Genomic DNA, 23883 nt, shown 5'->3' on the forward strand with positions numbered 1-23883 from the left:
ATATCACTGCTCAAAAATAATAAAATGCTATAGAAAGAAAATATCAACGCCACCACAAATCAACATTGGAGGAACAGCCCTAAAAAACATCTGGAAAATAGCATTAAGTTAACAAACCACTAGATAAAATGTTTGATTTCCCAGGCACTGATGTTACTAACTGCAAAAGCAGTTAAAAAGTCTTATGAGGAATAATATCTTGGCACTCATGAACAGCAAGAAACCCAGCTGTTTGCACTTGCTGTATAACAAGTGCCAATGCACATACTGTAATCCTCAGTCTGCTGAGCACTGCAATGGCAAACAGCACAATGTGACAGAAAGTTCCTGATTGGGCAAGAGTGATCAGGCTATTGGGACTCAGTAACAGGCAAATGCCTCCTTTTACTACAACAGCCCACTTCCAGGGCAACTTCCTTGTGAATTGTTGTTTCTTGCTATATATTCATTCATTTGCTTTTACTAGAAATTTATATCATGGTCTGGAAAGAACTTCTATTTCCAGGCAAGAGTTCCTTTAAACCATACCAGATGTCGGAAACATTATGAGACTGGCCTAAGAAGAGGAGAAGAGGGGATTTGAACATGAGCTATATAAGTGACAGACAGAAAAGGAAAGGGCCCATAGGTGAGTGGACATGAAGAGAGATAAGCAGATAAGCACACTAAAGCAAGATCATGGGAATCCGTGAAACTCTCCATCTCAAAGTGCTAGAAGCATACCCATCCTGCAACTGAGATTTTGAAAGAGACTAAGATAAAGCTAGAAGACAAAGGAGAAAGGAAGTGTTCAGACATCCTGACATGTTATTTCCAGTGCTACTTAGGCACTCATTGAAATCAGCAATTCTTTAGAATTGAGAAGGAAAAGTCTAATCAACTTGGCTATCATTTCATTCAATGATTAATTGTTAAGCTCCTAGTAGGTATCAGGAAAAGTTCTAGGTATGGAAGGTGGTGCAGAATAATAATGAACAAATAAAAAATGGTCTGTTCCGAAAGATACATTATTTAGGCAATCTCCTGTATAAATGATCAATCACCATCTACAACAAGTGTTAAGAAAACAAAAAATATATATGTAGGAAGGGGGTTTCTTCTCTTTCTTCTATGTACACATTAGAAAAGATGGATAATAATCAAATAACAACAAAAATAAATATACAAGTGCAACTGTGATGAGTGCTACAAGGAGAGGTAGATGGTTCTATGAGAAATAATTAGAATAGTTGGCCTTGTCAGCAAGGTAAGGGATGGCTTTCTTGAGGAAGGGATTTTTGAACTTTCATCTACAGGATAAGTGGAATTTCATTATGTGAAGAAGGGGTGTTCTGTGCCGGAAACACACGAGCAATGAAGAAAAGACACACACACAATCCCTTTAAGGGTAAACAACCTTTATTCCACGTAAATGGCAATGCAGATATAATAAGCAAATGATGTAATAAGCAAATGGATGTAATAAGCAAATTGCAATGGGGAGAGGAGAAAGGAAAAGATATATATATATTTACACTCACCAGACTGTGAAGGATTCACCACCAGACTGGAAAGCAACAGCCTGGGCTCCAGAGTCAGACACTTGTCCGTGCACAGATGAGGAGAGGTCTCATGAAGCTTCGTTGTGGTCTGGGACCATAGCTCCTTTTGTAATGAGTTGTTTGGCATGAGGCCCAGTCACGAGGCCCCTTCACGACTGGACTCAAGGAACACAAAAAGGTCAACTTGTTTTTGCGATTGTCTGTTGTTTTTCAACAACTAACATATAGGAATAGATTGAAATAGAGATTTCTCCAAAACAGTGCTGGACGAATGCCTCAAGGGGCTCACACAACCTGTTCCAGGACTTGGTGACCATTGTTTGTGTCTATGTTCAATTGAGTTCAAATTTAGTATTTAACTTTTCCTCCACAAGGCTCTGGATGGAGGTGGGGAAGGGTTCTCTAGAAAAGAGTCTAAATAAATGGGCTAATCAAAGTGCTGAGAGGCCAGTACTCAGGAATGGAGAGCACTGATATGGAGGCTGCTGCAAACTGAAACTAGGGGGGAAAATGTAGGAGAAAAATGTACAGGTGTCTATAGGAGTTTTGTCTTTGATCTCAAAGCTTTAAAGGGTTTTTTTTTGCTGAGGATAACATGATCAGATTTGGCACTGAGAAGATCCCTCTGGTTGCATTGTGTAGAATGGATTACAGGATGCAGATAGACTACTCAGTAAATTATTTCTGTAGTCCAAGTGATAGAGGATGGCAGCTTGTAGGAGGATGGTGGTGATGGTGGAGGAGATGGAGTTTCTGAGAAACTCTAAGGGAGTGTAACATAAGCATGTTAGGTCTATGACTGTGGAGTTGGCAGACAGCCCCAAAAGCCACATTTTTCATTCAAACAAGAATTTGCTTTGAATGAAAAAGGAAGGCAATGGCATTGTAAGAAACACGAACAATCAAGGAAGCTTACCATATCCTTTCTTATTCATGTTACTTCCCAGTATTGGCCAACCACCTATGCTAAAAATGACATAGAAGGAGAGGGAAATATGGAAGAACTCATAGTTCTTTTTCTTTCAACCCTTCCTTCTTTTTCAGTAAGTTAAAAGTAGAGTATTCATAAAATGTGCACCTATCAAGAAGTGAAAAAAAGAGTTAATTTTGTGCAGCATTTCCTCTCTTCTTTTGGGAACAAAATGCATATGCATGTATGAACGAGGTATGAATTGTGTAATTTTGGTAATTCCACATATGAGTTAAGTGCTCTTATATTTGCATTTATTTGTTTGTTTATTTATTTATTTAATTTTTAGAGACAGGGTCTTGCTCTGCTGCCCATGCTGGAGTGCAGTGATGTGATCATGGCTCACTATAGCTTCAACTACCTGTGCTCAAAGGGTCTTCCCACCTCAGCCTCCCAAGTAGCTGGAACCACAGGCATGTGCCACATGCTAGCTTTGTTTTGTTTTGTTTTGTTTTGTTTTTGTAGAGACCCAGCTAGCTTTTTTTTTTTTTTTTTTTTTTTTTTTGTAGAGAGGGGGCTCTCATTCTGTTGCCCCCGCTGGTCTTGAACTCCCGGGCTCAAGCAATCCTCCCACTTCAGCCTCCCAAAGTGCACAGATTACAGGCATGAGCCACCACACTTGGCCATACATATATTTAACTGACATTGCACAATATAATGATGAATAGTAAATTCATGCTAATAAAAAATTTAATTTTTATTTATTTACAATTACACTAAATTAAAAGAGACACCGTAACAAGTTGAGAGAGACTATAGAAGAAAAGCAAAAACATATTTTAGTACTTCAGGGGCACTTTTGCCTTTGTCTTTTGAATAAGGCATTCAGCATTTTCATCTTACATGAAAATGATGTAACAGGCCCTGCACAATACATACCTTCCTAGGTTGTAGTTGGCTATGTATTTGCTCAATTCCCACTAGGCTGCCACAGCTAAACACATGGTAAGCAGGACGGAAATGGCAAATAAAAACAAATGTGGATTTGGGTAAGGAGAGACTTGATTCAAAATGATTATTACAATAGGAGGAGAGGGACTATGGCAATAGGGAGAACACTCGGACCATGCAAACTGCAAGTTTCTCATTGGTCTTTATAAGGAGATTAGCACACAGACATGTGCATGCACAGAGGAAAGACCATGTGAGGACACCACCGTGAGAAGACAAGTCTTCTAGCCGATAGAAGTCTATCTGCAAGCCAAGGAGAGAGGCCTCAGAAGAAACCAAATCTGCCGATACCTTGATCTGGAACTTCTAACCTCCAGAACTATAAGAAAATAAATCTGGGTTATTGAAGCCACCCAGTCTGTGGTATTTTGTTATGACAGCCCTAGCAAATTAACAGTCTTCTTATTTTTGAGATACTTTGTGTATTCTGTACACAAGCCTTTGTCAGATATATGTATTGCAAATATTTTCTACTGGACTGACTTGCCTTATCATTTTCTGAAAAGTATCACTTAAAGAACAGAAGTCTTTAATTTTCATAAAGTCAAATTATTCAGTTCTTTTATATTATGGTTTGTGCTTTTCTTTTTTAAGACAGGGTCTCACTCTGTCACCCAGGCTAGAGTGCAGTGGGACGATCACAGTTCACTGCAGCCTCAAATTCCTGGGCCCAAGAGATCCTCCCACCTCAGCCTCCTGAGTAGCTAGGACCACAGGTGTGCACCACCACACCTGGCTATTTTTGTTTTTTATTTTTGGCAGAGACAAGGTCCCAGGCTTGTCTTGAACTCCTGATCTGAAGTGATCCTCCCACCTCAGCCTCCAAAGGGCTGGGATTATAGGCATGAGCCACCACACCCAGCTGGTTTGTGCTTTTTTGTGGAGTCATTCCCAAGTCACCTCTCTGCCTCATTATATCAACCAGGGATGAATAAGGAGACTAAAAACATGCCGGTTATATCAACAGAAAAGTTTAATATAAATAATTATTAAGTAGTAAATATGGTGTACTACTAAAAGAGATAAAAGAGGACTCTAAGGGGTATAGAAATAGCAACTGCAGATGGTGGCCACTACCTCTAAAGCCAATGCAGAGTGCACGAAGAAGAAAATGTTAAAATTTAGAGGGGGCAGTCCAGGCACAGTGGCTCACTCTTGTATTCTCAGCACTTTGGGAGGCCAGATGGGAAGACTGCTTGAACCCAGGAGGTCGAGGCTGCAGTGAGCCATGATCGTGCCACTGCACTCCAGACTGGGTAACAGAGCGAGACCCTGTCTCAAAAAATAAGTTAAAAAAATAAGTAAATAAAAAATAAAAAATTTAGAAGGGGCATTTCCCCACTAAGGCTGAGAGTCAGGCCTCTCAGGAGAGGTATGACTGCCACAAAAACATTCAGCCTGCTGGTGACATGGAAATTTCTGGAGGATGGGATCCCAGCAGCCTACCCATAGGGCACAGATCTCAGAAGGTTAACAGGACTCACTGACCACAGCTCTGGTCTCAAGATTTGTACTGCTTAGTTAAAAACACTCCAAGCAGGAGAGGAGAGGGGAGGGGAAAGAGGAGGGAACCCAGGACAAAGAAGACTAAAAAGGAGCCCAACAGATAAGAGCAAAAACAGGAAAGTGGGGAGTAATGGAATCTGAGAGTTGGGCATTTAATGCTGCTAAAAGAATTCTTGGCCAGGCGCGGTGGCTCACACCTGTAATCCCAGCACTTTGGGAGGCCAAGGTGGGCAGATCACAAGGTCAGGAGTTTGAGACCAGCCTGGCCAATATGGTGAAACCCCGTCTCTACTAAAAATACAAAAATTAGCCAGGTGTGGTGGTGGGCGCCTGTAGTCCCAGCTAGCGGGGAGGCTGAGGCAGAGGAATTGCTTGAACCCAGGAAGCAGAGGTTGCAGTGAGCCAAGATCGTTCCACTGCACTCCAGCCTGGGCAACAGAGCGAGATTCAGTCTCAGAAAAAAGAATTCATCAGTCTTTTTTTTTTTTTTTTTTTTTTTTTTTGTGACGGAGTCTCGCTCTGTCGCCCAGGCTGGAGTGCAGTGGCGGGATCTCGGCTCACTGCAAGCTCCGCCTCCCGGGTTCACGCCATTCTCCTGCCTCAGCCTCCCAAGAGTCTTTTGTATTTGATATTTCTTTCTTCTAGCCCACCTTCATTTAATTCTATTTAACCTTTTATCTTTCCATATCTGCCTAGATATTGTCTCTTCTGGATGCCTTCTCAAACCTGCCCCCAGCCCCAACACATGGTTAGTGCTCCTTTGGCTGCCAAACACCCTTGTGTTTACCCTTGTGATAAAATTTAAGCTCCTTGAAGTAAGAGATTATGTTCCATTCTGCATTCTATCACTGGATCACAATATACTCCTCAGCATGTTGTTAGTATTTCAACATTTGATAATTTTTAAAAATCTGAATAAATCACTCTTTTCTCTGTCCTCTACTCTTTTTACTTGTACTTTTGTCATGGAACTTATTAGCTATCACTACTTTTGTAAATTGTTTTCTCTCCCACAAAAACTGTTAGCTTCTACTAATCTTTGGATTCCTTTGATTGACAAGCATTGTGCATTGCACAAAGTAAGTATTTACTGATTATATGCTGTATTAAATGTCACCAAACTCATAAAAGGTAATTATAATGTTGTAAAACTGATTTTGTGGTTGGCCTATAAACTGGCTCTGAAGATATTTTTAAAATAATTTTATCAGAAGGCATGCAAGAATCTTGGAGTATTGGTTTATACTCATTTGGCTGCGGGAAACAGAAACTCTATCAAGTTACAGATTGAGTATTCATAATTTGAAAATCCCAAATCCTCCAAAATCCAAAATTTTTTGAGCACCAACATGACACTCTAAGGAAATGCTCAGCGTAGCATTTTGGATTTCAAACTTTTATACTGGGGATACTCAACATGCAGTTTCAATAGAAAGGAGGGAGCATTTCTTACTATAAGGAGTAGGAGTACAGCCGAGACTCTGGAATGGGCTGGAATCAGGCCCTTCATCACTGGCAGCAGTACTCTTTGTCACTCCTTTCTGCAAGTCCTCCACTCGCAGTGATACTTCATTCAGTCTTTCATCCTTTTCCTCCTTTTCTTCACTGATATCAATGAATGGGATTACAAGGTAGAGGAGGGAAATGCTGTTGGTAAGCATTCTGTCTGGTTGAAGATGGACCCCTGCAGCTCAAGAATTTACATCTCCTCCATTTAAGAGAGATTGCAAACTGAGACTGGATTATTTTATTTCACTCTCAAATTGAGAGTGAAGGAACTTTTATTTACCTTTTCAAAAATCAAAATTTTGTTTTTGTCAAGTGCCTACTCCTAGTCCAAGCAACAAGTGTCCAAGCAGGGTCATGTAGTGAAAGAATGGCTGTAACTATGAGAACCAGGGAGTAGATGGGGGTAGGGAGGAAGGAAAACTCAATGGAACTAGACAGAAGCATTGTAACCCAGGATCTCAGTTTTAAACATATTTTTTAATCACCCATTCTCTTTTTCTCCCTTCCCTCCTCTCTTACCCCTTCATTCCTTCCCTCTCTAGACACTCCCCTCCAGCAATGCAAGCTTATCTAATTATGTTCCTACTTAAGAAATTCCAGAGGCTAATCTTGAAACAAACCAGGTGCGGAGTCCCAGCTGCAGCATCCTCCCACTCAGCAGGGGTCACAGTTAGTCCACCACCACTGGGCTGCAGTAAAGATGACACCAAGCAGACCTCCAGAGAGAATTACGCAAGCTAGCCATCTGAACAAAGACACACAGACCCCACATCCTGCACCACTCCCCCATGTCTCCTATACCAAATTTCCCTTTAAAAACTCTATGATAAATTTTAAAATTTAAGATGGCACTTGAGACAGCTAGTTCACTATCTTCCAGGTTTGCTGGCTCTCCAGTTAAACCTGCTTTTCCTTCCACCAACCCTCGCCTCTCATGTCTGGCTTTTCAGCTATGAGCAGCCAAATCTGTGTCTGGTTACAGTATCCTAATAAGTTATTCTCTACACCAAGCCACCTGGGTCGAGATTAAAAGGAAGAAACTAAGTCTTCCAGTAAACCTATACAACTATAGGGCTGACCCTAAATTTGTTAGTAAGCAATCCAATGTAGGTAGAGCAGGGTCAGGTTTGATGTGTTTTGGCCGACACGAAGGGCTTAGGTCTCATTCGTTTACATATTAGATACAACAACTGATGGGGCTGAGGCTCCTTATATAGCTTGCTTAGTAGTAGCTTATCTATTGGTTGAGCCCAGCCAAATTTAAAGGTACTGAGACTAAGAAAAAAACAATTTTTTTTTTTTTTGAGATGGAGTGTCAGTCTGTTGCCCAGGCTGGAGTGCAGTGGTGCAATCTTGGCTCACTGCAACCTCTGCCTCCTGGGTTCAAGCAGTTCTCCCTGCCTCAGCCTCTCGCGTAGCTGGGATTACAGGTGTCCACCACCACACCCAGCTAATTTTTGTTATTTTGAGTAGCGACCGGGTTTTGCCATGTTGGCCAGACTGGTTTCGAACTCCTGACCTCAGGTGATCCATCAGCCTTGGTTTCTCAAAGTGCTGGGATTACAGGCATGAGCAGCAGAACTAAGAAAATATTGAAGCTTACGATTTTCAGTTTATTTCGAGTACTAGCACTGTACTAGTCCATTCTCACACTGCTATAAAGACTAACCTGAGACTCGGTATTTATAAAGAAAAGAAGTTTAATTGGCTCATGGTTCTGTGGGCTGTACTGGTGTCTGCTTCTGAGGTGGACTCAGGAAACTTACAATTATGATGCAAGGTGAAGGGGAAGGAGGCACATCTTCACATGGCAGAGCAGGAGAGACAGAGAGTGAAGGGGGAAGTGCTACACATTTTCAAACAACCAGATCTCATGAGAACTCACTCACTATTATGAGAACAGCAAGGTAGAAATGTGCCCCCATGATCCAACCACCTCCCACCAGGTCCCTCCCCAACACTGGGGATTACAATTCAAATGAGATTTGCGTGGGAACATTGAGCCAAACCATTGAGCCAAACCATATCATGCACATTGCTAAAATAAACGTATCATTACCCAAGCTGATTGCTTTGAAAGGCAGCATTTATTTATGTGGCTATGTGCTGAGAAGTATGAAAAAAATTAATTTCATTATATTGTATCACAATTCATACCATTTGTCCTATATTTATGATAGGAGAAGATGACATTAAGCATGGTATATACTTAATGTCTCATTTGTTTTACAAACTAAGAAGTGACAAAGGAAATTAACCCCCCAAATCACTGAATATTATGAGATCTACTCTGCCTTATTGTCATATGATAACTATTTGCCTAGAATCTATGGATTTTTAAAATATTAAAGCATAACTCACTGACCAGAACTGGTCCCATGGTCCAATCTAATCACCATGTGCAAGGCAGTCATGTGCCAATGGTGAAATGCTAGAACAATATGGTAGCCGCAGTACCAATGCTTATTCTCTGCCACACACTTTCCCCCACCACGTCCCCACCCTAACACTTTAAGGTTAAAATGCAGACAAAACTTTACCTGAATTTTAAAATAAAAAGAAATAGTACAGTGTTATCAGAACAGAGTAGATTCTTTTTGTAATAAAGACAGGATCTTATTCTGTTGCCCAGGCTGGTCTTGGACAACTAAGATCAAGTGATCCTCCCAGCTTAGCCTCCTAAAGTGGTGGGATTACAGATGTGAGCCACCGCGCCCAGCTCAGAAAGTAGATTCTTTTTATTTTATTTTATGATTTTAAGTTCCAGGGTACATGTATGGGATGTGCAGGTTTTTTACATAGGTAAACATGTGCCATGGTGGTTTGCTGCATCTATCAACCCATCATCTAGGTACTAAGTCCAGCATGCATTAACTATTTTTCCTGGTGCTCTCCCTTCCCCCACTCCCCCTGACAGGCCCCAGTGAGAAAGTAGATTCTTAATGTTGAAATTTTAGGTGTGGGACAAGGGGACTATAAAGATAAACAGAAATGGATGTAGATACAGAGTTTCCTGTACTCTCAGATGAGACGACTGCATAAACAGCTTTACTTAAGCAGATTCATGGTGCTGGGACTGTTCAAAAAGTGTTGCATGCTATGTAGTGCGAAGTTGAAGGATTCTAGCAGCATTAAAGAAAATGTTAATTTATTTGGTTCCATCTCATCCTAGTCAATAAGTCAACACATACAAATTGTTCCCCTTTTTGATTGCCTAGAAGTAAGCACTTTTATCTATTCAGTTTTTAGATTCCTATGCATTGCTTTCAAATCAATTGCATGAATGGAAAACTCTTCTCATTAATCACATTCCTCTCCACGCCAGCGAAGTCTCCTCAAGTCAGAGCACATCTACACATCGTCCACCAGATGGCGGTGGAAGCCCACCGACATTGTAGACTACGTAGGAAGAGCGTCCAGATGGAAAAGCGGGTTGGGGCTTTCTGGTCTGGTTTTTTTGTTTTGGGTTTTTGTTTGTTTGTTTTTGTTTTTTGTTTGTTCGTTTGTTTAAGACGGAGTTTCGCTCTGTCGCCCAGGCTGGAGTGCAGCAGCGCGATCCTGGCTCACTGCAACTTCCGCTTCCCGGGTTCAAGCGATTCTCCTGCCTCAGCCTCCCAAGCCCTGGGACTACAGGCGCAGGCCACCACTACGGGCTAATTTTTGTATTTTTAGTAGAGACGGGGTTTCATCATATTGGCCAGGTTGGTCTCAGACTCCTGACCTTGTGATCCGCCCACCTCGGCCTCCTAAAGTGCTGGGATTACAGGCGTGAGCCACTGCGCCCCGCTTCTGGTCTGTTTGTAAAACTAATCATTTCGGGAGGCTGAGGCAGGAGAATTGCTTGAACCGGGGAGGCGGAGGTTGCAGTGAGCTGAGATTGCGCCATTGCACTCCAGCCTGGTGACAGAGCGAGACTCCATCTCAAAACAAAAACAAAAACAAAATTAAGCATTAAAACGAAGAGGACTGTTGGATTTTAGAGCCTCAGATACGGGGCTTTTTTTAAAAGTCCATTTTTTTTTAAATTGTTAGAAAGATATGGCAATGACAAAGTAATATAAGTGATCTAATTAGATTATATTTTTTCTTGTTTTAAATTCTGGGTAATCTGTCCATTGAAGCTACTTGGCTGGGGAAGCAATTGAAAGTGTCATTCCTCAGTATGCTTGAAATCTCTCATACCCTTCATGCCCAACTAAGATATATAAGAGAAAATCCTGTTAGTGGCCATCAGCAGCTGCTGGAGAATGCACCTTTATATCCAGATTCTGGAATCTTTCAGGCAACCCTGCCTTCTTCCTCTTTGACTTCTATTTCTCATTCAACTCACCAGATTATTGGGATAATCATGTGTGTGGAGAAGATTCTCAATCTCTTTGAGTTTCAGATTTCTCATCTGCAGAATTAAAGTGTGTACTTTTTTGAGGAAATAATACATGAACATACATAGAACAATGCCTGGCACAGCCTAAATGCTCCAGAAATGGGAACTATTATTTTTTCCTCAGACTTTTACCTTATTTTGAAAGTAAGCAGGCTGGGCACGGTGGCTCATGCCTATAATCTCAGCACTTTGGGAGGCCGAGGCAGGTGGATCACCTGAGGTCGGGAGTTCGAGACCAGCCTGACCAACATGCAGAAACCCCATCTCTACTTGTGGGCGGAAAGCCACCCAGGTGCTGAGGCAAGAGACTGAAGGCACAAGCTGTTCCAGTATAATAAAAGAAAATAATTAGAATACAAAAAGTTATACTAAAAATAAGATATAGACATGATTATATATGAATATTATCAATCTTTAGTTGGTAGTGTTGCTCTTTTAGTATTATAATAATCTCTGTTTTATAATCATAACCTAGAAAACACCAGGCCATACAGAGTCAGGAGCTGAAGGGACATGGTGAGAAGTAACCAAAGGACAAGAGTGTGAGCCCTCTGTCACGCCCGGATAAGGGCCGCTTGAGGGTTCCTTGGTCTAGCGGTAAGGTCAGTGCCTGGGAAAGCACCCATTACTTGGCAGACCTTGGTCTAGCGGTAGGGCCAGTGCCTGGGAAGGCACCCGTTACTCGGCAGACCTTGGTCTAGCGGTAGCGCCAGTGCCTGGGAAGGCACCCGTTACTTAGCAGACCGGGAAAGCGAGTCTCCCTTTCCCCGGGGGGAGTTAGAGAACACTGCTCCACCAACTCTTGTGGGAGTCCTGACATTAGCCAGGCCTGCCCGCAGTCATCTGGAGGCTTAAACATCTGTGGTGCTGTGCTTCAGTGGTCATGCTCCTTGTCCACTTTCATGTTCTGCCTGTACACCTGGCACCTCCTTTTAAGTTCTTAAAAGATAGCAGTAACAAAATTAGTGAAAGTACTAAAGTCTTTGATCTTCCTGATAAGTGCACAGAAGAAATGCTGACATATACTGTCCTCCCTCTCTGCTTCAGCTATCACAAAGGGAAAGGCCCCCCGTCACGTGGACACGTGACTTGCTTGACCTTATTAATCATTTGAGATGACTCAAACTCCTTACCCTGCCCCCTTGCCTTGCATACAATAAATAGCAGTGTGTCCAGGCATTCAGGGTCACTACCAGGCTTCGCGCATTGGTGGTAGTGGTCCCCTGGGCCCAGCTGTGTTTCCTTCTATTTCTTTGTCTCATGTCTATTTTTCTACAATCTCTCATCTCTGCACACTAAGGAAAAACCCACAGGCCCTGTAGGGCTGGACCCTACACTACTAAAAATACAAAATTAGCGGGGCATGGTGCATGCTTGTAATCCCAGCTACTTCGGAGGCTGAGGCAGGAGAATCACTTGAACCTAGGAGACGGAGGTTGCAGTGAGCTGAGATTGAGCCATTGCACTCCAGCCTGGGCTACAAAAGCAAAGCTCTGTTTCAAAAAAAAAAAAAGAAGAAAGAAAAAGAAAGTATAGGGCATTAATTATAGTAACTTGTGCACAGTTTCATCATTTGTGCCAAATGATCATGTAACAAAATTATGACTATGCCTATTGTGTATTATGTGTGTGTGCACATTAACTATCAAAATGTCCATATTTTGTATCTGCAACAAACTTATATATTGGCAGCAACTACAGCGCTATTGGCCAATTACAACAACAACATGAAACACAGACACCGAGAGAAGAAACGTTATCTAAACCCAAAGTGTGAGTGTCTCAGAGCACATATTTTCCAAATGTCAGTTAACAGGGAAAACTAACAGATACCATAACCAGTGACATTCCCTCCCTGCCCTGAATTATGGTGAAAGTGTATGAATTATATGCCCCATTTTCAGCTATACAATTTAGAGCTCCACTGGAGTTCTGTGGAAGACCAAGTGAGGAGCTTTCAGTTTTGGAAAGTAGATACTCATATGACATAAATGGTCTAGATTCAGGAAAAAGAACAGCTAGGCCTTGGTGATGGCTTCTGAATGCAGTTTGTACAATTTACAACTCAAGTGTCATGTGATATCATTTCTGTGGGGATTCTCGTTCAAAAATAATGAGACTAATGTTGATAAACGATCGAGATTTTTATTATGAGTTTCCGTAAAGGTGTAACACAGGGGTCTCTCCCAGAAAAATAGAAAGTAAAGCTTCCAACAATACTTCTCTATATCTCTCCTCCCTCCAAAGTTCCCTACTTATGACGGCTGCTAAAATTCTCCTCCTCTTTCAATCTCCCAATCCTTCCATGTTGTTATCTCACAGTTTTCTTTCTACCCTGTTCACTACCTTCTTCCCACATGGTGTAAAAGTGAGAAGCTTCTCTTGTACCCCTGCCCACCAACCATACATAGAAGACAGCTAATGGCCTCCCATTTCTCTCTCTCTTCTTGGCAAGAAGCATGTAGCATCCCCTACAAAGTATATTTTTCTCCTCCTGAATGATTTTTGCATGAGACATTTTCTTACAGAGAAATTCCGGGGACTAACATTCTCTACTTTGTTTTATGTATATATAATAAAGTATATAATATACATATAAAACAAAGGTGTATATATAAAGCCAGATATATATATCTGACTCATTGCAGCCTCAACCACCTGGGCTCAAGCAATCCTCCCACCTCAGCTTCCTGAGCAGCTAGGACTACAAGGCTGTGTCACCATGCCGGGCTAATTTCTAATTATTTTGTAGAGATAGGGTATCTCTATGCACCCAGGCTGATCTCAAACTCCCGTCTCAAACGATCCTCCTGCTTTGGCCTCCCAAAGTCCTGGGATTATAGGCATGAGCCACCACACCTGCCCCTTCTACTCTGTTGTATTTAGAAGGAGAGAATCTTATGGGAGAAATTCCTGTTTTAACTTGTTTTAATCTATTACATAGAAACTGTCTACAGGACTATACTAGATTTCTACTTTTCGTTAGTGAAGAAGAAAGTTGTTATACGGAAAAATCTTTTAATTTTTTCATTTTTTTGAGACAGACTCTCACTCTGTCGCTGTGCTAGAGTGCAGTGGCACGATCTCTCCCTATGTTTTCTCCTATTAGTTTTATAGTTTCAGGTTTTTAAGTCTTTAGTCCATTTTGAGTTGATTTTTGTATATGGTGTACCACAAGCTTTGTAAACACCCTGCCATCATAGTGGTGCTCTGACTTATCAATATTCTTTTTTAAAAGTGTGTCCTTTCTAACTGAATTAGTATGTTCAACAATTTTATTTATTTATTTATTTATTTTTGAGACAGAGTCTCACTCTGCTGCCCAGGCTGGAGTGTGTAAGTGGCACAATTATGGCTCACTGCAGGCTTGACCTCCTAGGCCCAAGTGGTCCTCCTGCCTCAGCCTCCTGAGTAGCTAGGACCACAGGCACACGCCACCACACCTGGCTAATTTTTTAACTTTTTGTACAGACAAGGTCTCACTCTGTTGCCCAGGTTGGTCTCAAATTCCTGGGCTTAAGTGATCCTCCCACCTTGGCCTCCAAAACTGTTGGGATTACAGGTGTGAGCCACTGTGTCTGCCCCAACAACATTTTTTGTCTAGCTTTTTCTCTTTTAAAGAAACAGTTGTGTTTTACATTTTTCAGGTAATTGAAGTTTATCCTTTCAACTAGTAAAAAAAGTTTTAAAACCAATCCTTTGTAACACAGAAATACCCCTTCGTATGATCTTTTAACTTAGTTTTATACATAAAAATAAATCTAGGCTGGGCATGGTGGCTCACACCTGTAATCCCAGCACTTTGGGAGGCCAAGGCTGGAGGATTACTTGAGAGACCAACCTGGGCAACACAGCAAGACTTCACCTCTACTAAAAATTTTAAAAAATTAGCCCGGTGTGGTGGTGCACTCCTGTAATCCCAGCTGCTTGGGAGGCTAATGCAGGAGGGTCACTTGAGCCTAGGAGGTCAAGGCTGCAGTGAGCTGTAATTGCACCACTGCATTCTAGCCTGGGCAACAGAGTGAGACCCTGTCTCAAATGAATGAACGAATACATAAATCTACCTTCTAGAACCATAGTATAGTAACTTTGTCTCCTTCCAGCAGATGGCACTGAAGATTGTGCACAGTAATTTAGTAATTTTAGTCTAGGGCAGTGCTTCCCAGCCTCTTCATGTTATAACATAGCTAGAAAATAAGGATATTTTTGTTGGGTAAAAGACAAGGATGCTTGCAGCCAAAGGAGACTAGCCTGAGGATCACTTGAGTACCCCCTAGTTGTCCCAATGTCTGAAGAGGATTAATATCTTAATACATCTTTTAATGAATTGCACTCATTCAGTGTGCCCTGGTGTAGTGGTGCCCTGATGTAGGTCATCTTTTTATTAATTTGGGGCCTATTATGAGTTTATGTTTTAAAATGTGCTTTATAAATATTAATCCCAACATTGATGTCAGTGAGAAAGCAGTGAGAATTTTGAAGGTGGTAGTAAGAGTGATGTGAAGATTAAAAAAGCAGAGATTGAAAAATGAAAATTCATAGTAATAAATATACAATAAAGTGGTATGACCCAGTTGAAATTGGGAACAATTCTGAAAAGCAAAGAGTGACTCATGCCATATGAAAATGCCATTTGCTATGGACTGAATTCTGTACCTCCAAAATCCATATGTTGAAGCCCTAACCCCACATGTAACTATATTGAAGAGAGGGCCTTTAAGGAGGTGATTAAGGTTAAATGCAGTCGTAAAGGCAGAGCCTTGTCCAATAGAACTGGTGCCCTTATACCGAGACACCAGACAACTTTCTCTCTCCCCATCTCTGCCTGCCATGTATGGACCAGTGAGAAGGTGGCCATCTACAAGCCAGGAGGAGAACCTTTACCAGAACCTGATCATGCTGGCACTCTCATCTCAGACTTCCAGCTTCCAGAATTGTGGGAAAACACATTTCTGTTGTTTAAGCCACCTCGTTTAAGGTATTTTGTTATGGTGGCCAAAGCAGACTAATTCACCATTTTTATATAACAATAATCAGTAAGAAGAAAAGTAATTGACAAAATGTACACACTGTTGACCATGTGATGAGAGGATCAGTGTCAACTCTGGGCACCCATTAACCCATTAGGAGATGGTTCAAGTATCTTAAAGGCCTAAGAAAGTAAAGTTATGGAAAGCAAGAGCGCTAGGCACATTTTAATCTGTACAACATCAACATGAGTGGTAGCAGGTGTGAATATACGCCAGCTGCTAAGAAGTTCCTTTAGGCTCATTAAGGAGGGGCATTTCCTTCCTTAAGGGACTTCAAATGTAAATCCAACAAAAAATGCCCTTTGGAACCTTGCTACTCAAAGTGTGGTCCATGGATCAGCAGCATCAGCATCAGCATCACCTGGGAGCTTGCTAGAAATGCAGATTCTCAGGTCATTCTAACCCTACCCAATAAGCATCTTCATTTTAACGTGATCATCAAGAGATTCATATGCGCCTTAGTCTGGGTTGCACCACTATACAACTTATATCAGTAAAAAGAAGAGTAAGCTTTGTTCTAAAGTTTCAAAGGACTGCCTCACTTTTCTGTTTTCTGGAAATGCATATGTGGCTTACTCCGAACTTGTGAGTATTGGGACTTACGAACAATGGAAATTTTGGAACCTAACCTGTTCATATGTAAGAGTTTCTAAAGTTCCAAAATGGGTTCTGTATTCCTCTGGTCTTCTGAAACAGAGTACAGAACATAATTTAATTTTTCTTTGCAATTGAGGACCAAATCTATGAATATCTGTTTTGGTCCTGATATATGGTGATGTCATAAAGCGCTTTCAAGTTATAAAGCAGGTGTTCGGTATGTGACAGTTCCCTTCACTTTATTTCCTTCAGAATACTAGGTTATAAATTTCTCAGATGGCAGAGACTTGTGGACTATGTTTATCATATTTCCAGTGGAATACATAGGGTTGTTCAATGTAACTAATTGTGTCAGAATACCGTGCATTTTTAATTCATTTTTCTAATTGTCTTGTTTTTCCTGTGCTTATTCTGCCAACTAATAGAGATTGCTCCTCTCAAACTACCTATATTAACAGCATTTCCTTCCCTTGCCTTGTGATTCATAGTTTCTAATCTGCTGTGGACTAGTTAAGTGTCTAACTACAGAAATTACAGCATGTCTGAAACAACAGCCAAATAGTTTATGTGACAATCAGAGAATTTCCTGTAAGTGCATGCACTATTGTTCATGAGTTGACTATGTGGTAATTATTTGCCAATAATCTCATCTTTTATTTTTCTTTTAGTATCTTAGTTGTGTTTTAGACCACTGAAATGTAAATGAGAGTTAAATGACATCAACATAAGTGATCAAATATTATTAAAGTCAGTGAAATTATTTATTCTCATGATAATGCGTGGTGAAACTCAACTGGAATGCCATAATGAAAAGAAGAAACAAAGATTCACTAAGAGCAAAAAAAAAAAAAAAAAAACACAGCCAGGATTGTTTTTAATTCAAGAAATACAAATACAAGTCAGTAGGAATATATAGAAAAGTTTCTGCATACCTTTGAAAACAGACCATATCTTATTCATTTTTGTATCCCCAATACCTAGCCTATTATAAATGTAATAAATCTGTAAATGGATCAGATAAAGGAGGAAAAAGCAGAAAACTGTTTCTTCATATTGGGAGATGGACACCTAATAGAGAATGCCACTAAAAGGGAAGGAGTGATCTACAAACGCCAAATGTGATTTACAAACTAGAGAATAAAAACCCTAGTGAGAAATATGGAAAGCCAGGCTACGATAAAGAATTGACATTTCTTGGCTGGGCATGGTGGCTCACGTCTGTAATCCCAGCACTTTGGGAGGCCGAGGCAGGCAGATCACCTGAGGTCAGGAGTTTGAGACCACCCTGGCCAACATGGTGAAACCCCATTATCTACTAAAAATACAACAATTAGCCAGGAGTGATGGTGCATACCTGTAGCCCCAGCTACTCAGGAGGCTGAGGCAGGAGAATCGCTTGAACCCAGGAGGTGGAGGTTACAGAGAGCCAAGATGGCGCCACTGTACTCCCGACTGGGTGACAGTCTCAAAAAAAAAAAAAGAGCTGACATTTCTTGAGCTAGAGATAGGCGTTCAGTTGTCCAAGGCTCCCACTTCTGTTATAGAGAATAGAGTCCTAAGTTGGGGATGACAAATAGTAACACACGTATTATTTCACTTCCATATATGCAGCAGAGATTAATTCAATTACCCACTCTTTCTCACTGAACAGACTTGGCCTCAGCATCTGCATCAACACTATACCTCAGAGAATCTGAGTTGACATAGGAAACATCATAATTGGCATTTGTGACACTGTAATCACAAATCTACAAAATATCACTTTTATTGGTCTGTAAAAGATTGAAGAGATGTCCTGAAAGAAAGGACCATCATCTTCCAAAGTAAGAGAATGAACCAATTCAGCTTAACTCTGCTATTCAAAAGCAGTGGTCCTCAAACTTCCCCATGCATCAGAATTGCCTGGAGAGCTTGCTGTAGGGCCCTATCTCCACCACTTCTGAATCAGTATACGGTCCAGGGTTTGGGCCCACAAATCTGCATTTCAAAAACTCTGAGATCTACCATTGTAGAGTACACTGGAACAAATTCTAAATATGAAAAACTGAAAATCTTTTGACAGCAAGACAGTAAATCATAACTAGCATAGCTTTATGAAGAAAAATGTAAATTAACCCAGTATAGTTTATAGTAAAGCAATGGTCTGGAGCTAAATAATCCTTGGTTTGACCGCTGGTTCTGCTAATTCCAGGTTCATGATTTTTACTAAGATTACTTCAGCTCTATAAACATTAGTTTCTTCACAGATAAAATAGGGATAAGAAAAATATCCCATGGAGTTATTGTTAGGATTAAATAGAAAAAAATACATATCTAGATTTACAAGCACAGTGCCTAGTAGATGGTTCAATCCTATTCATTCAATTCTTCATCCTTTTTTCACTTATAGTAGTAATGGAAATTAAAGCAAAAGAGTGAAATATTTTCATAAAGGTTGTAGTGTTTGTCAGGAGGAAAAATATCTACCTTCTAGAAGGGGTGCCACGGCAGCGACAGCACAAGGCCCGTGCGTCTGGGGTTCCTGTAACAAAAGAAAGGCATATGAATGTATGATATTTAATGTAAGTTTTACATGGCACCAGAGCCTTCATAAGGAAACGAAGACCTGAAGAAACCTGAGCGTTTTATACCAAGCTTGATGAAGAGTAGACTGTTATGGAAAACTGTGATAAGACAAAAAGATGGGCTAAGGGCAGTAAACTGGGGGAAACCTACCAAGGCCTATTCATTTAGATTCCTCTTGGCGTCTCTCTGTCTTCACAAATAAGACTGCTTCTTTTCTCCAGGTATAGAGAGGGCATCTCTCACATGAGGGTCTTATGACCTGCTTCATGGGAAGGTCAGAGTCCTCACACCTGCCATTTCTCAAATTCCATCAGCTTAAAACATTCAATATGCCAAGGTGTTATATTTTGGGGTAGTGTGCCCTGAACACCATCATAAACATGCTAGAAAAATTCTACAGCAAATTAGTGGACAAGGGGAAGGAGCTTAGGTATTAAAGATTGTGGAGAAGATCTATTAAAACACAGGGCCCCAATCCTCCTCTTAAGGAGTCTCCCCTTAAGAGACAGGGTTCACTTTCATCCCATATACTTCTGATTAAAAGGAGCCTCTTATACCCAGGAGAATACATTCCAGGTGCAGAAAGCCAATTACCTAGTTATTCCCTTACCCACGTAATTATAGACCTTAATCCAAATTCAAAGGACTCCTGGGAGATGCTGGAATCTGTAATTGTGTAATCTCTTTGATGAAGCACAGAGTGTGATCTTTTGCTCATGTGGGGCTAGGTTTCTGTGGAGAAGCTGGAAATGCTGTGGAAAAGGGCTTGCCCCTTTTGTGTATATGAACTCTAATGTAGTTGAAATTCCTAGAAGTCAAAGATATAAATCTAACTACTAAAATTCATTTAGTGCATTAAAATGCCAGTTATTAATTTACGGCAACAACTAAAGGGAAGCTTTGTATTATTCTAGGACTACAATGCAATTTATGCTTTGCATAATCATTCAGTAAATGACTTATTGCTCCAGAAATACCATCTTGCTAGATCCCATTCTGAATTCAGTGTTTCTGAGCAATCTCATCTCCAATACAGAGTGATGACATACTCAGGATTCCAAGACGGCAAAATGACTTGGGTAATGTAGTCTAGGGCCTGCCAGTGAGTATGCTGAGACAGACCAGAAAGACTTAAAGATTCCACTAATGTAGACAAAGCAAGCTGAGCCACAACTTCTCGGAACACCAACAGGATGCACCAACAATCGACAAAAAAAAAAAAAAAAAAGGAGATAAAGTTTAAAGTTTGTCTTCCAGCATTCCCTTACCCTATTTTCCCCTTCCTCTTCCCTACTTTATCAGTGGGAAAAGTTCTCAATAATGCAATTCTTACTGAGATTCTTGTGTTTATCAGAGAAATGTTTCCTCTTTCTTTGCCAAGGAATTATATATTCCCAACAGACATGGCGCTTGAATGCTATATTTCCTTTGGAATCAAGAAAGGGGAGGTGGGGGAATCAAAAATTAAAAACCAAACCCAAGCCATTGTTCCTCTTCGAGGAAGGGTGGGTGGTCAGTCGTCGCCTGAGCTCCGAACATCAACCCGCGGCTCTCAAGTTCCCCTCCCAGTAATGCTGGGCCCAGCCTCGCCGCGGCCGATCCAGCCTCTGCCCTAGGTGGAAGCGGGCCACCCGGTCCCTTCACCCACTGAGGCCCAGTCCTTTCGCCTCAACACGAAGGCACCTGGCCGGGCCGGAGCAGCAGCCGCGGGGCCGGCACTGGGGCCACGGAACCCCGGGCCAGACTCAGGCCTGGGCCAGCTCGGCTCCGGCCTGCAGGGGGCGCTGCGGCGGCACCGGCGCGAGGCCCGCGCGTGCGGGGAGCGACCCCAGGTGTAAGTCCCGGGGCGTGGGGCGCGTGGGTCAAGGCGGAGCGACCCAGGATCCCCGCGCCCGCGGCGGCCGCCGAGTGGCAGCGCTGGACTCGCGGAGAAGCTTGGGTACCTGAGCCGCGGTCCCGGGTGACACCCTCAGTGACGCCAGGCGCGTTCCTTCCTCTTCCTCTCTCCTCTCCGGCCCCGCCTTCCCTTCCCTCCGCCCACCTCCCTGAAGCGGAGCCGCCGTCGCCACCAGCGCCGTCATGTCGGCCCCCGCCGGGTCCTCTCACCCGGCCGCCAGCGCCCGGATCCCGCCCAAGTTCGGCGGAGCGGCCGTCTCAGGAGCCGCAGCGCCCGCGGGCCCGGGTGCGGGCCCGGCGCCGCACCAGCAGAACGGTGAGGCGGGCGGCCCGGGCGGAGCGCGGGGCCTAGCACCGGCTGGGCGGCCTGCACGGCCACATCGGGGCGGGGCGGGCCGGGCCGGGAAGGGCGTTCGGGGCCAGGCCCGGCCCGAGGGACGGGAGCGGGCGCGGTGCGGAGGCCGCGGGGTCCGGGTTGGGTGCGGGTAGGGGGCAGGGAAGGCACGGCGCGGGGCGCGCGGGGGTGGGACGCCCCTGGCGTGGGGGCGGGGGCCGGCCTGGGAAAGCTGGGGCCGTGGCTGTTTATGTAATGCGACCCCAGGCCCGAAACGGCCTCGGGCGAGTAGGGGCGACTGAAAAGCTGGGAGCCCACGTAGTAAAACCCAGTTACCTAGCCTGGACGCGGGCGAGTTGCCCCGAGCGACCCCTTGGCTGCGAGAGCTGGCCAGAAGCCGAGGCCGCTGAGTGCGTGGTCCGGAGAAGGCTGGTGCAGCCACCCAGCAGGGTGGATTGTGCCCTTCCTGTCTCAGGAAAATTGCTTCGGTTCCCGAGGCCCAGCGAACACGCTGCCTTGAGGAAACTTAAGTTTGCACTCAAGTTTGTAGACAAAAGGGTGTAAATATGCTATATAAGTGTAACTGTAACCCTGACCCAGTTCGGCCTCAAGAACTGTCATTGCCGCTGCGGCTGCTGCTCAAGCTTTTGGAGTTTGCTTGTAGTGTTTGAAAGGGAGCAGATGTAAACGGATTTAAACGAACATCTTTAGATCTGGGTGTTTTTCCTAGCTCCACTTTCAGAGATGAAAAAACGTGCCAGAGTTGGCCCTGCTTTGAGGCAGGGCCTTCATACAGGCAGCAGCCAAATGCAGCACGAAAGCCGCTTTCATATTAAGGTCGTGGGCTTTTAGTAGGCTGCAAAATGATGGATATGCATTCCCTAATGCTGAGATTTGGAATGTTCGCGGATAGGGGCCAAGGGTGGAGGAATTCTCCTTACAGACTTCTTAGTATGTCAGATGAGAACCTTGGAAAGTAATTGACTGAATTTAGAAAAATACCTCTGTCCTGTGTTGGTACGAGAACCAAACTGCATTAGTACTCTCCAGATGATTGACCTGTTTTATCTAATTTCCTAATGAAAATCTGCTGGACTTTATGAATTAGTTTAATCAACATCTAAGTTTTACAACTGATGCTTTTCAAACATGAAGTGTATCGTTTGTCCTGAGGATCAGAAGTTGAGTGATACTTTAGCCTTAATATTCTTTGGATCAGCCTTACCTATCAGTATTACATGCTGTACTCTCAGTAGTCATTGTTTACTATAATCGCTTTTGGATATAAACCTGTTCTGAACAAATGTAAAAATACTATTTGTGAGCAGTGTTTGTTCTTGTAACCTTAATATAAGTTCTTGTTTTTGTTTGTTTTTAAAATAGCTTTATGAAGGAACTAGAACACGATAATTTAGTAAAAGAGCCCAAGTCTTTTAGAACATTGTAGACTCATGTTTACCAGTGATTCAAGGATTGTGTCTTTCCTTGATTTTCTGAATATGCATTATCATCTTAGTGAACAGTTTTTAAAGTGGCAAATGTTTATTACAGCCTTATAAATTTTGTGAACACTCAAGAATGCCAGGATATGTACTCAGCCAAGTGTAATCAGGATGTTAAAATCTGTAAGAACAAATCAATGTTTTGATGCCAAATATAGATGATGCTTGAGTTCTCTTGTTTATAATCACTACTTTCCTTTAATGTTGCAATAATCATTTCAACATTTATTGCATGCTTACCAGTTGGGGACTCAAGGTTAGGGTAGCAGATGAGACAGAGTCCCTGCCTCTCTCCTGACTTGCCCTGTATTTGGTAATGTTTGAATTGGTTCTGGCTAGCCTTGAGGGACTCGACAGGTTGGGGTGGGAGGGAAAGGTTGACTCTAGGCAGAGGTTACAGCATGAACTAAAGTTTGGAAATATGAAAGTGCAGGGCATGCTTGGAAAGTGGAAGGAGTCAAGAGGTGCAGAGGGTGCTGGGTGGCATGGGAAGCCAAGGCATCGAAGCCGAAAGGAGCAGGTTAAAAGGGGTCAGGTTGCAGAAAGGCCTTAAATGTTATGCTAGGAAATTTGAAAGTTATGGTAAAGTGTAAGAACTAGGGTCAGGTAGAGTACGAGGTCTCCCTGTGTTGCCCAGGCTGGTCTGCTGGGCTCAGGTGATCCTCACACCTTATCCTCCAGAAGGATTTTTGTTTTTGTGGAAGGGATTAGTTTAAGTAGAGAAACAAGATTAAATCTCTTTTTGTTTTGTTTGCTAATCTCAAAAAAAAAAAGTTTGCTACGTGGTATCAGCATGTAGTAAGCAGTCATTTGGGTTTCTCATTTATTTTTCAGTCCTACAAAAGTAGTTAGCCTTTTAATATATCTCTATGGAATTCCAGACATGGTGAAAAAGAAATAGGTCAGAAATATGAGCATAAAACAGACAGAATTGTAAAACTGGAATGGTACCTAGAAATCACTCACTTCAGTGTTGTGGTGTGATATGAAATACGTTTGGCCTTTGTCCTGGGTTCCTGTAACAGCTCCTAAAACCCTTGTAATTTCCTGAGTGATAGGAGTGTCGCTTGCTACTCATAAGGAGTCTTTTGATCACAT

At 42.5% G+C, this 23883-nt stretch overlaps 1 protein-coding gene and 1 long non-coding RNA gene across 8 annotated transcripts in view, besides 7 other annotated features; one reads left to right on the forward strand and one right to left on the reverse strand.

The window, feature by feature from the left end:
* Nucleotides 6316-6853: an enhancer, noted in NCBI's record as "OCT4-NANOG hESC enhancer chr4:110340209-110340746 (GRCh37/hg19 assembly coordinates)". NCBI's record gives its function as "activates a minimal SCP1, AML or CMV promoter by ChIP-STARR-seq in primed H9 embryonic stem cells {active_cell/tissue: H9 hESC(primed)}" and the evidence as "EXISTENCE:reporter gene assay evidence [ECO:0000049][PMID:30033119]".
* On the reverse strand, nucleotides 17226-21080 carry SEC24B-AS1 (SEC24B antisense RNA 1). Its single transcript, NR_039978.1, has 3 exons — nucleotides 20997-21080; nucleotides 18955-19009; nucleotides 17226-18043 (listed from the first exon to the last, which is right to left on the reverse strand). It is a non-coding gene; the product is annotated as an SEC24B antisense RNA 1 (long non-coding RNA).
* Nucleotides 20708-21097: a silencer, noted in NCBI's record as "silent region_15621". NCBI's record gives its function as "represses an Ori minimal core promoter by ATAC-STARR-seq in GM12878 lymphoblastoid cells {active_cell/tissue: GM12878}" and the evidence as "EXISTENCE:reporter gene assay evidence [ECO:0000049][PMID:35858748]".
* Nucleotides 20708-21831: a biological region, named in NCBI's record as "H3K27ac hESC enhancer GRCh37_chr4:110354865-110355724".
* Nucleotides 20972-21831: an enhancer, noted in NCBI's record as "H3K27ac hESC enhancer chr4:110354865-110355724 (GRCh37/hg19 assembly coordinates)". NCBI's record gives its function as "activates a minimal SCP1, AML or CMV promoter by ChIP-STARR-seq in naive H9 embryonic stem cells {active_cell/tissue: H9 hESC(naive)}" and the evidence as "EXISTENCE:reporter gene assay evidence [ECO:0000049][PMID:30033119]".
* SEC24B (SEC24 homolog B, COPII component) overlaps nucleotides 21078-23883 on the forward strand; it is a 107082-nt gene continuing 104276 nt past the window's right edge. For all 7 annotated transcript variants that reach the window (NM_001300813.3, NM_006323.5, NM_001318085.2 and 4 more), the window contains exon 1: nucleotides 21078-21265. In NM_001300813.3, coding sequence (NP_001287742.1) covers nucleotides 21133-21265 — 133 coding nt within the window. In that variant the 5' untranslated portion in view covers nucleotides 21078-21132. The remainder of the gene's footprint in view (nucleotides 21266-23883) is intronic.
* Nucleotides 21148-21417: a silencer, noted in NCBI's record as "silent region_15622". NCBI's record gives its function as "represses an Ori minimal core promoter by ATAC-STARR-seq in GM12878 lymphoblastoid cells {active_cell/tissue: GM12878}" and the evidence as "EXISTENCE:reporter gene assay evidence [ECO:0000049][PMID:35858748]".
* Nucleotides 21796-22090: a silencer, noted in NCBI's record as "tiled region #6018; K562 Repressive non-DNase unmatched - State 2:TssF". NCBI's record gives its function as "represses a minimal TATA promoter and a strong SV40 promoter by Sharpr-MPRA in K562 cells {active_cell/tissue: K562}" and the evidence as "EXISTENCE:reporter gene assay evidence [ECO:0000049][PMID:27701403]".
* Nucleotides 21908-22057: an enhancer, noted in NCBI's record as "active region_21801". NCBI's record gives its function as "activates an Ori minimal core promoter by ATAC-STARR-seq in GM12878 lymphoblastoid cells {active_cell/tissue: GM12878}" and the evidence as "EXISTENCE:reporter gene assay evidence [ECO:0000049][PMID:35858748]".

This window comes from Homo sapiens, chromosome 4, assembly GCF_000001405.40.
Source record: "Homo sapiens chromosome 4, GRCh38.p14 Primary Assembly".
NCBI classification, from domain to species: Eukaryota; Metazoa; Chordata; class Mammalia; order Primates; family Hominidae; genus Homo; species Homo sapiens.